Consider the following 12,220-nt stretch of genomic DNA (forward strand, 5'->3'; position numbering starts at 1 on the left):
TTTGGCCAGGCGTAGTGGCTTATGCCTGTAATCCTAGCACTTTGGAAGACTAACGAGGGAGGATCTCTTGAGCCTAAGAGTTTGAGACCAGCCTGGGCAAAGTAGTGAGACCCGGTCTCAATTTTTTTTTTAATTAACTCTAAAAAAAAATCTTTTTCTCATTAATAGTCAATAATTTACCAATCAATATCCTCACCAATATTTCTCACTAATCATCTCTTTGTTCTCCTGGACTCTCCCCCAAGAGTGATGCATTCTTGACAAAAAAAAGTCTGGGTCTTTCAACGAAAATTGTCAGTGATCTACCACCCTACTCTACAATGTATAGGAACTGAAAACACTTCAATGTGGGTCAAATGCTGACTTCCCTTGAATGGAAATATACTCAGAACAGAGAAATGTTAAATGTTTCTGTGTCTTGATCAGAGGTGACAGGGAACTGCCCTGTGGCTTAGCCCAGGTGGTATTGAGATCCTCAGGGCCACCCTGAGATTGGAGGGGGTGAGAGATTGCCTTTGTTTTGCACAGTGAGAGAAGAAACTTTGTGATGTGAATTTTAGGAAACCCCATGTAGATGTTGAGGATCTGGTAGCTAATTCCCTTCAACTCTTTTCTCCTTGGTAAGCCATCGCAGTTTGAAAACCACTGGTACAGGAGAGAAGGAGAGCAGACAGACTGAGCACATGTGGTATGAGGGAGGGCTGCACTGAGGGTCTCCTGAGATTAACCAGGAAGAATCTGAAGTGAAACTGGTCATATGTTTCCATCAGCCGCAGTCTGCTGTGCTGATACAGGCATGAAGGAGTCAGAGATCTGGATTTAACCAGGGTTGTAGATTTAACCAAGCAAGTAGTTTTGAGAATTTAAAGATGTGATACAGGCCAACAATGAACAATAGGGAAGAAAAAAAAAAAAGACCATATAAGAAAAGAAACGTCATCACAGTACACCACTAGATTGTGCAGCAACACGTTTGTATAAACTTCAGCTCCTGACTCATCATGCTCTCTAAGATCAGCCAGTCATGTTCCTGATAAGTCCATTACCCATGCAGAAGCATAAGGGATTTAAAGGTATATGCCAGGGAGTGATTAAAATGATTGTGGCCAGACGTGGTGGCTCACACCTGTAATCCCAGTACTTTGGGAGGCCAAAGCGGGCAGATTGCTTGAGCCCAAGAGTTTAAGACCAGCCAGGGCAACATAATGAGACCCCATCTCAAAAAAAAAAAAAAAAAGATAAAAAGAAAAAAAAGCCGGATGTGGTGGCATGCACCTGTAGTCCCCACTACTTAGGTGGCTGAGGTGGGAAGATCACCTGAGCCCTGGAGTTTGAGGCTGTATGAGCTGTGATGGCGCCACCGCACTTGAGCCTGGGTGACAGAGTGAGACCTTGTCTCAAAAAAAATGTTTTTTTAATGATTGAACATGGCATTTTAGCTAGGTAAGAAAGGCTGTGAGGACCCTAGGGGAGGGGAGAAGGTTCAGTGAAAAGGTAATAGCATCAGTGAATTAAAAGTTTAGTGGGAAGGAAAAGTTATTAGAGGTGGAGTCCCATAGGAAGTGAGCTGAGAAAATAATGTTCAGCGAACAGGGTGATTAAAATGGAAATTAAGGAGGATTTTCTGTGATTGATAATAAAATCTAGGGACTGCTAATAGAAATATAAAGTGAGTAACATATGTAATTTAAAATATTCTACCAGCCACATTTAAAAAAGTAAAATGAAACAGGTGAAATTTCTTTTGATAACATTTTACTTAACACATATATGCAAAGTACTATCATTATAATATGCAATCAATATAAAAATTCATTAGATATTTCATATTCTTTACTTTTTGAAACCACATCTTCAAAATTCAGTGTATATTTTACACTTGGGTACATCTCATTTTGACCTAGACACATTCAAGGCTGCAGTGAGCTATGATCACATTGCTGCACTGAAGTGTGGCCAACAGAGCAAGACCCTGTCTCTTATAAAAGAAACAAAAAAACAGGGGGAGGGGTGTTTGTAAGATTAGTAATTTGAAACTAACCTAGATTTGATACAAATGATAGAATTCGTGGACAAGGGTATTAATGCAGCCATTATTATAATTATCATCAAGAAGCTAGAGAAAAGGTTGAGCATGTAATTGAAGACATGGAAGTTATAAAAAAGATCCATATCAAACTTTTAGAGATGAAAACTAAAATGTCTAATATGAAAAACACACAGGATGGGATTAATGTCAGATTGCACATTGCAGAAGAAATGATTAGTGAATTTGAAGACATTTTCATAGAAACTATCCAAAATGAAACACACAGAGAAAAAAATATTAAAAAAAGAAATGAACAGAATATCAGCAAGCTGTGGGACAAGGGGCCTAATACATGTGTAACTAAAGTTCCCACAGAAGAAAAATGAGGGAAGAGAGAATCGTATGTCAAGTAATAATGGATGAAATTTTCCAAATTTGATAAAATGATAAACCAACAAATTCACAATGCTCACTGTATTAGTCCATTCTCAAGCTGCTATAAACTGCCCCAGACTGGGTAATTTAGAAGTAAAGAGGTTTAATTGACTCACAGTTTCACACTGCTGAGGAGGCCTCAGGAAACTTACGATCATGGTGGAAGGCAAAGGAGAAGCAGGCGCTTTCTTCACAGGGCAGCAGGATGGAGGGAGTACAAGCAGGGGAAATGCCAGATACTTATAAAACCATCAGATCTCATGAGACTCATTCCCTATCAGAACAGGATGGGGGAACCACCCCATGATCCGATTATTCCACCTGGTCCCACCCTTGACACGTGAGGATTATGGGGATTACAATTCAGGATGAAATTTTGGGTGGGGACACAGAACCAAACCATATCACTCACCAAACCTCAAGCATAAGAAACTTGGAAGAAACTACATCAAGGCTCAGAGTAATAAAATTGCTTAAAAATAGTAATAAAGAGAGAATCATAAAAGCAGATAGAGGCAAAACAACATCACATGCAGAAAAACAAAGAACAGTATGACAGATTTCGTTTTAGAAACAATGCAAGTGTAGCATGGCAAATGAAGGTGCAAGACAATGGAGCAACATTTTTTAATGTCCTGAAGGGAGGGAAGGAGAGGGAATCACTGGCAACACAAAATCCTTTACCCAGCCAAAATCTCTGTGAAAAAACGGAAGGCAAAACAGGGACCCTTTTTAGACATACAAAAGCCAAAAGAATTTATCATCACCAGACCAGCACTACAAGAAATGCTAACAGTAATCCTTCAAGCAGAAGGAAAATGCTACCAGATATAAATCTGCAACTACATAAAGGAATGAAGTATAGTGGAGATGGTAACTATGTGGGTAAATATAAAGTTTTTTCTTATTATTTAAATCTCTTTAAAAGATAACCAACTCTTTAAAGCAAAAAATAAGACAATGTATTATCTATTTGGAAACTAAATGTAAATATAACACATATATATAACACATATAGAAATATAGGACAACAAAAGCACAAAGGACAAGAGGGGAGAAAAGGAAGCATGTTTTACATTTCTTATATTCTACGTGTAGTGGTATATTACTCAAAGATAGATTGTCATAAGTTAAAGATGTCTACTCTATGCCTTAGCAATCACTGAAATAATACAGCAAAGAGTTATACTAATAAACCAACAAAGGAGATATAATTTAATCATAAAAATAATTTAATCCAAGACAATGAAGAAAAATAGGAAAAAGGGAATAAAGAACAGGTAGGATGAATAGAAAACAAATAATATATAATCCCAACCATATCAACATAATATTAAATTAAAGTGGTCTAAACAATTAAAAGGCGAAGATATAAGACTGGTTAAAAAGGCAAGATGCAAATCTATTCTAACTACTAGGGACCAGCTTTATATATAAGGACACAAATAGATAAAAAGTAATAGGATAAAAGATAGATCTATCATGGTAACACAAATCAAAAAAAGTCTGGGGGCTATATTAGTATCAGACAAAGTAGATTACAGAGCAAAGAATATTACTAGGGATAAAAAGGGTCATTTAATTTTGACAAAATGATCAGTTTATCAAGAGGCTATAACAATCCTAAATGTTTATGTCCCTACTAACAGAACTTGCAAACACATGTAGAGAAGCTGATAAAATTGCAAAGAGAAATAAACAAGTATACAATTATAGTTGGAGATTTTGACACCCTTCTTTCAATAATTGGTAGGATTAAGTGGACCTAAAATCAGTAAGATATAGAAGATTTGAACAAAACTATCAACCAACTTGACCTAATTGACATTTATAGAACTCCCCATGTAACAACAACTGAATACATATTCTTTACATGTGCATCTAAAACATTTACCAGGATAGACCATAGTCTGGGCACTAAAAAGTACAAATATGTTTAATAGAATTCAAGTCATACAAAGTATATTCTCTGATCACAATGGAATTGAATTAGAAAGCAACAACAGAAAGATCTCTGCAAAATCCCCAATTATTTGAAAACTAAGCCATACACTTCTAAATACCTCATGTGTCAAAGAATAAATGAAAAGGGAGCTTAGGGGTGGGAGAGGTATCGGCAGGGGCAGCGCTGCCGCCGGGGCCTGGGGCTGACCCGTCTGACTTCCCGTCCGTGCCGAGCCCACTCGAGCCGCAGCCATGTCTGGGGACGAGATGATTTTTGATCCTACTATGAGCAAGAAGAAAAAGAAGAAGAAGAAGCCTTTTATGTTAGATGAGGAAGGGGATACCCAAACAGAGGAAACCCGGCCTTCAGAAACAAAAGAAGTGGAGCCAGAGCCAACTGAGGACAAAGATTTGGAAGCTGATGAAGAGGACACTAGGAAAAAAGATGCTTCTGATGATCTAGATGACTTGAACTTCTTTAATCAAAAGAAAAAGAAGAAAAAAACTAAAAAGATATTTGATATTGATGAAGCTGAAGAAGGTGTAAAGGATCTTAAGATTGAAAGTGATGTTCAAGAACCAACTGAACCAGAGGATGACCTTGACATTATGCTTGGCAATAAAAAGAAGAAAAAGAAGAATGTTAAGTTCCCAGATGAGGATGAAGCTCTAGAAGATGAAGACAACAAAAAAGATGATGGTATCTCATTCAGTAATCAGACAGGCCCTGCTTGGGCAGGCTCAGAAAGAGACTACACATACGAGGAGCTGCTGAATCGAGTGTTCAACATCATGAGGGAAAAGAATCCAGATATGGTTGCTGGGGAGAAAAGGAAATTTGTCATGAAACCTCCACAAGTCGTCCGAGTAGGAACCAAGAAAACTTCTTTTGTCAACTTTACAGATATCTGTAAACTATTACATCGTCAACCCAAACATCTCCTTGCATTTTTATTGGCTGAATTGGGTACAAGTGGTTCTATAGATGGTAATAACCAACTTGTAATCAAAGGAAGATTCCAACAGAAACAGATAGAAAATGTCTTGAGAAGATATATCAAGGAGTATGTCACTTGTCACACATGCCGATCACCGGACACAATCCTGCAGAAGGACATGCGACTCTATTTCCTACAGTGCGAAACTTGTCATTCTAGATGTTCTGTTGCCATTATCAAAATTGGCTTCCAGGCTGTCATGGGCAAGCGAGCACAGCTCCGTGCCAAAGCTAACTAATTTGCTAATCACTGATTTTGCAAAGCTTGTTGTGGAGATGTGGCTGGACAGGTTTGCCATCAGAGTGGATATACCATTGTATTAAAAACAAGATAAAAAAGCTGCCAAGATTTTTGGCGAGTGGTTGGTTGGTCTGAAGTCCTTGCAAGACGCTGATGCTCAAGCTGTTGACATACTCATTGCCTACTTTAACACCTGTCAGAGAAACGTGATATGGGGTAAGGAGGTGCTTTTTTAAAATAGTTCATAGACTTCTGTAAAATGCAAGATAAATTAAAGTTATTATAACAGTGAAAAAAAAGAAAAGGGAACTTAGGAAGTATTTAGAACTAAATGAACATGCAAGACACAATATTCAAAATTTGCGGAATGCAACTAAAGTTGAACTTAGGAAGAAATTCATAGCGCTGAACATTCATATTTGAAAAAAAAAAAGCCTTCAATCATTGACATGAGAGCTCTCATCTTAAGAAGAAACTTGAAAAGGAAGGCCAAATGAAACCTAAAGTAAGTAAAAGAAAGGAAATATCAAAAATCAAAGTAAGCCAGACATGGTGGTGCATGCCCATCATCCTAGCTATTCAGGAGGCTGAGACAGGAAGAGCACTTGCGCCCAGGAGCTCAAAGTTGCAATGAGCTATGATTGTGCCACTGCACTCCAGCCTGGGTGACACAGTGAGACCCTGTCTCAAAATAATAATAATAATAATAAAGTCAGAGTAGATATCAGTGACAGAAAACAGAAAACAATACAGCAGATCGATGAAACCAAAAGTTGGTTTGAGAAAACAAATACAATTATGAAACCTCTAATTATACTGATAAGGAAAAAAGAGAGAAGACCCAAATTATCAGTATCAGGAATGAGAAGAGTGGCATCAATACATATTTTATAGGTAATAAAAGGACAATAAGGACTACTATGAACATCTTTATGCCAATAATTCAACTTATACAAAATGGACAAATTCCTTGGAAGACATAAACTGCCAAAGCTCACTTAAGAAAAAATAGGTAACCAGAATAGCTATTTACCAGAAAGAAAGTTTTAAAAACTTTCCAACAAAGAAACTCCATGTCTAGGTGGCTTCACTTGGGAATTCTACCAAACATTGAAGAGAGAAACTCTATACAAATTCTCCCAGAAAATTGAAGAGAAAGAATACTTTCCAACTCATTCTAGAAGGTCAGTATTACTCTGATACCAAAACTAGACAAAGACTTTACAAAGAAAGAAAAGCAATGACTAATGTTATTATGAATGTACATGTAAAAATTCTTAATAAAATTTTAGCAGATTGCATCTGGCAATATTTTTAAAAGATAATATATCATGGCTAAGTTAGTTTATCCCAAGAATTTGTTCAGTTTACTAGTAGAAAAATCAATGCAATTCAACATAATAGTAAACTTAAAAAGAAAAACCATGTGATCATCTCAGTAGGTACAGAAGAAGCATTTGGCAAAATTGAATGTTTATTCCTGACAAAAATTCTCAGGAATAGAAGGAAACTTAAAATCTTATAAAGGGTATTCATTAAAAAATCTACCAAAAGCATTATACTTAATGTTGAAAGACTGACTGCTTTCCCCATCTCTGATAAAAAATAAAGCAAAGATGTCTACTCTCACCACTTCTACACAGCATTATGCTGGAGGCTCTAACCAGTGCAATAAGACAAAAAAAAAAGAAATAATAGGCTCCTAGAATGAAAGAAAATGATAAACTGTCTTTATTCACAGATGACATGCTCTTCTATGTATAAAATTCAGTGGAATTCACAGAACAGCTACCGGAAATAAGCAAATTTAGCAAAGTTTCAGGATACCAAATCAAAATACGAAAATTACTTGTATTTGGCTGGGCTTAGTGTCTCACACCTGTAATCTCAGTACTTTAGGGGGCCAAGGCAGGTAGATTGCTTGAGCCCATGAGTTCAAGACCAGCCTGGGCAACATGGCGAAATCCCGTCCAGTCTGGGTGAAAGAGGGAGACCCCAATTGGCCGGGCACAGTGGCTCATGCCTGTAATCCCAATACTTTGGGAGGCCGAGGCAGGTGGATCACGAGGTCAGGAGTTCAAGACCAGCCTGGCCAAGATGGTGAAACCCCGTCTCTACTAAAAATAAAAAAGTTAGCCAGGTGTGATGGCGGGCACCTGTAATCCCAGCTACTCGGGAGGCTGAGGCAGAGAATTGCTTGAACCCAGGAGGCGGAGGTTGCAGTGAACCGAGATCAGGCCACTGCACTCCAGCCTGGGTGACAGAGCGAGACTCCATCTCAAAAAAAAAAAAAAAATTAACTGTACTTCTGTACACTAATGGCAAATAATCAGAAATTGAAATTTAAGCACTCTTTACAGTAGCATCAAAAAATATGAAATACTTTAGGAATAAGTCTGACAAAAGATGTTCAAGACCTGTACACTAGAAACTGCAAAACATGGCTGGGCGCCGTGGCTCAAGCCTGTAATCGCAGCACTTTGAGAGGCCGAGGTGGGCAGATTGCTTGAGCCTAGTTTGAGACCAGCCTGGGCAAAATGGCAAAACCATATCTCTACAAAAAAATACAAAAACTGGCCGGGTGCAGTAGCTCACATCTGTAATCCCAGCACTTTGGGAGGCTGAGGTGGGCGGATCACCTGAGGTCAGGAGTTCGAGACCAGCCTGACTAACATGGAGAAACCCCGTCTCTACTAAAAAAAAAAAATACAACTTTAGCCAGGCATGGTGGCACATGCCTGTAATCCCAGCTACTCGGGAGGCTGAGGCAGGAGAATCACCTGAACTCGGGAGGCGGAGGTTGCGGTGAGCCAAGACCACGCCATTGCACTCCAGCCTGGGCAACAAAAGCAAAACTCCGTTTCAAAAAAAAAAAAAAATTAAAAGTTAGCCACGCATGTTCACAGGCCCCTGTAGTCTCAGCTACTTGGGAGGCTGAGGCAGGGGGATCACTTGAGCCCAGGAGGTCGAGTCTGCAGTGGGCCATGCGCTCCAGCCTGGGTGACAGAGCAAGACCCTGTCTCAAAAAAGAAGAAAAAAAGTCCGGACACGGTGGCTCACGCCTGTAATCCCAGCACTTTGGGAGGCTGAAGGGGGTGGATCACAAGGTCAGGAGTTCAAGACCAGCCTGATCAATATGGTGAAACCCCATCTCTACTAAAAAAATACAAAATGAGCCAGGCGTGGTGGCGTGTGCCTGTAATCCCAGCTACTCGGGAGGCTGAGGCAGGAGAATCGCTTGAACCCAGGAGGCAGAGGTTGCAGTGAGCCAAGATCATGCCACTGCACTCCAGCATGGGTGACAGAGCGAGACTCCATCTCAAAAAAAAAAAAAAAAAAAAAAGAGGAAAAAAGAAAAAGAAAAGACACTACAAAACACTGCAAGATAAATTATTAAAGGAGATCTAAATAAATGAAGAGATATATAATCTTCATGGGTGAGAAAGCTCAATATTGACAAAATGTCAAATCTCTCCCAAATTCAATGTAATTGCAATCAATAGTTCAGCAGGCTTTTCTGTAGAATTTGACAAGCTGATTTTAACATTTATATGGAAATGCAAGACAAAAAAACAATAAAAAGCACCCAAAAACCTAGACTAGCCCAAACAACTCTTTTTTTTGACAGAGTCTCATTCTGTCACCCAGGCTGGAGCATAGTGGCACAATCATACCTCATTGCAGCTTCAAATTCCTGGGCTCAAGGGATTTTCCTGCCTCAGCCTCCTGAGCAGCTGGGACTACAGGTGCATGCCACCACACCAGGCTAATTTTTTTCATTTTTTGCAGAGGTGGGTCTCTTTGTGTGGCCAAGGGTGGTCTCAAACTCCTGGGCTCAAGAAATCCTGGCACCTTGGCCTCCCAAAGCACTGAAATTACAAGCCTGAGCCACCACGCCCAACCAACAACTGACAGAGAAGAACCAAGTTAGAAGACATACATTACTTGAATTCAAGAGTTATTATAAATCTACAGTAATCAAGATATTTTGAAATTGACATTAAGATTGATGAATAAAATAGATTAATGTAACATGTTAGAGCCCAGAAATATACTGATTTATTTGGTCACTTGATTTTTGGCAAAGGTACAAAGGCAATTCAGAGTAGAAAAAACATTTTTTAACAAATAGTGCTGGCTGGGCACAGTGGCTCACGCCTGTAATCCCAACACTTTGCAGGGCCGAGGCAGGCAGATCATCTGAGGTCAGGATTCTTTCTTTTTTTTTGAGACAGAGTCTCGCTCTGTCGCCCAGGCTGGAGTGCAGTGGCACAGTCTCGGCTCACTGCAAGCTCCGCCTCCCGGGTTCACGCCATTCTCCTGCCTCAGCCTCCAGAGTAGTTGGGACTATAGGCGCCCGCCACGACGCCCAGCTAATTTTTTGTACTTTTAGTAGTGATGGGGTTTCACTGTGTTAGGCAGGATGGTCTCGATCTCCTGACCTTGTGATCTGCCCGCCTTGGCCTCCCAAAGTGCTGGGATTTTACAGGCGTGAGCCACCACACCCAGCAAGATCAGGATTTCAAGACCAGCCTGGCCAACATGGTGAAACCCTGTCTCTACTAAAAATACAAAAAAATTAGCTGGGTGTGGTGGCGGGCGCCTATAATCAATCCCAGCTACTTGGGAGGCTGAGGCAAGAGAATCACTCGAACCTGGGAGGCAGAGGTTGCAGTGAGCTGAGATCGCACCATTCCACTCCAGCCTGGGCAACAAGAGGGAAATTCCATCCCAAAAAAAAAAAAACAAAATAGTGCTGGAGTAATTGGAAAACCATACGTTTTTAAAAATAGACTTCAGGCCAGGCAAGGTGGCTCATGACTATAATACCAGCACTTTGGGAGGCCAAGGCAGGTGGATCACAAGGTCAAGAGTTCAAGACCAGCCTGGCCAAGATGGTGAAATCCCATCTCTACTAAAAATACAAAAAATTAGCCAGGCATGGTGGTGGGTGCCTGTAATCCCAGCTACTCGGGAGGCTGAGGCAGGGGAATTGCTTGAACCCGGGAGGTGGAGGTTGCAGTGAGCCGTGATCACACAACTGCAGTCCAAGCCTGGGCGACAGAGCGAGACTTCGTCTCAAATAAATAAATAAATAAATAAACAAACTAAAAATAGACTTCAATTCATACCTTGTACCATATAGAAAAATTAAGGAAGATGGATAGCAGACAAAAATGTAAAACCTAAACATATGAAACTTCTGGAAGAAAATAGAAAATCTTTTTGGTCTAGGATTGGGCAAAAATTTCTTACATATAAAACACACAGGTCAGGTGTGGTAGCTCACACCTGTAATCCCAGCACTTTGGGAGGCTGAGGCGGGTGGATCCCTGAGGTCAGGAGTTTGAGACCAGCCTGGCCAACATGGAGAAACCCCATCTCTACTAAAAATACAAAAAAAAATTAGCCAGGCATGGTGGCGGGCACCTGTAATCCCAACTATCTGGGAGGCTGAGGCAGGAGAATCACTTGAACCCGGGAGGTGGAGGTTGCAGTGAGCCGAGAACACGCCTTTACACTCCAGCCTGAGTGACAAGAACAAAACTCTAAAAAAAAAAAAAAAAAAAAAAAAAAAAGATATAAAACACACAATAGTGATTTATAAAAGCAAAAATTTGATCTAGACTTCATCAAAATTAAAAGTTTCTGCTTTTGAAAGACACTTTAAGAGAATGAAAAGGCAATATATATGGATTTATTTATTAGTATATACATATTTATACTATATATGTGTGTGTATATATATATTTTATATATAGTCCTATGCTACATAACATTTAAGTCAAGGACAGATTGCAGACAGTCAGTGGTCTCATAAGATTATATCATATTTTTACTGTACCTTTTCTATATTTAGATATGTTTATTTATTTTTGAGACAGAGTCTCGCTATGTCACCCAGGCTGGAGTGTAGTGGCATGATCTTGGCTCACTGCAACCTCTGCCTCCCAGATTCAAGCGATTCTCATGCCACAGCCTCTCGAGTAGCTGGGATTACAGGCATGCACCACCACGCCCAGCTAGAGACAGGGTTTCATCATGTTGGCCAGGCTTGTCTTGAACTCCTGGCCTCAAGTGATTTATCTGCCTTAGCCTCCCAAAGTGCTGGGATTGCAGATCTGAGCCACCGAGCCTGGCCTAGATATGTTTAGATACACAAATACTTATCATTGTGTTATAATTGCCTATGGTATTCAGTACAGTAACATGCTATTGAGGTTGGTAGCCTAGGAGCAACAGGCCATACCATGCAGCCTAGGTGTATAGTAGGCTATGCCATCTAGGTTCGTGTAAGTTCACTCTAGGATGTTCCCACAAGGATGAAATCACAAAATGACACATTTCTCAGAAAGTATCCCCACCATTAAGCAATATAAGACTGTATATAAACCCTCCCATCTAAATAATTAGAAAGGAAATTTTTAAACAGTCCCAATATTTGAACAAAGACTTCACCAAAGAAAATATATGGACAGCAAATGAAAAAAGCACTCAAAATCATTAATCATTGGGGAAATTAACATTAAAACTACAATGAGATAATGCAACAGACCTAATAGAATGGCTAAAA

At 39.8% G+C, this 12,220-nt stretch overlaps 1 long non-coding RNA gene and 1 pseudogene across 1 annotated transcript in view; one reads left to right on the plus strand and one right to left on the minus strand.

Annotated features, from left to right (window-relative positions):
• ERICH2-DT (ERICH2 divergent transcript) overlaps positions 1-12,220 on the minus strand; it is a 70,399-nt gene that overhangs the window by 46,777 nt on the left and 11,402 nt on the right. The gene's annotated exons all lie outside the window — the stretch shown is intronic.
• On the plus strand, positions 4,547-5,938 carry EIF2S2P4 (eukaryotic translation initiation factor 2 subunit 2 beta pseudogene 4; annotated as a pseudogene).

The sequence above is a fragment of the Homo sapiens genome, chromosome 2, assembly GCF_000001405.40.
Source record: "Homo sapiens chromosome 2, GRCh38.p14 Primary Assembly".
Lineage (NCBI taxonomy): Eukaryota > Metazoa > Chordata > Mammalia > Primates > Hominidae > Homo > Homo sapiens.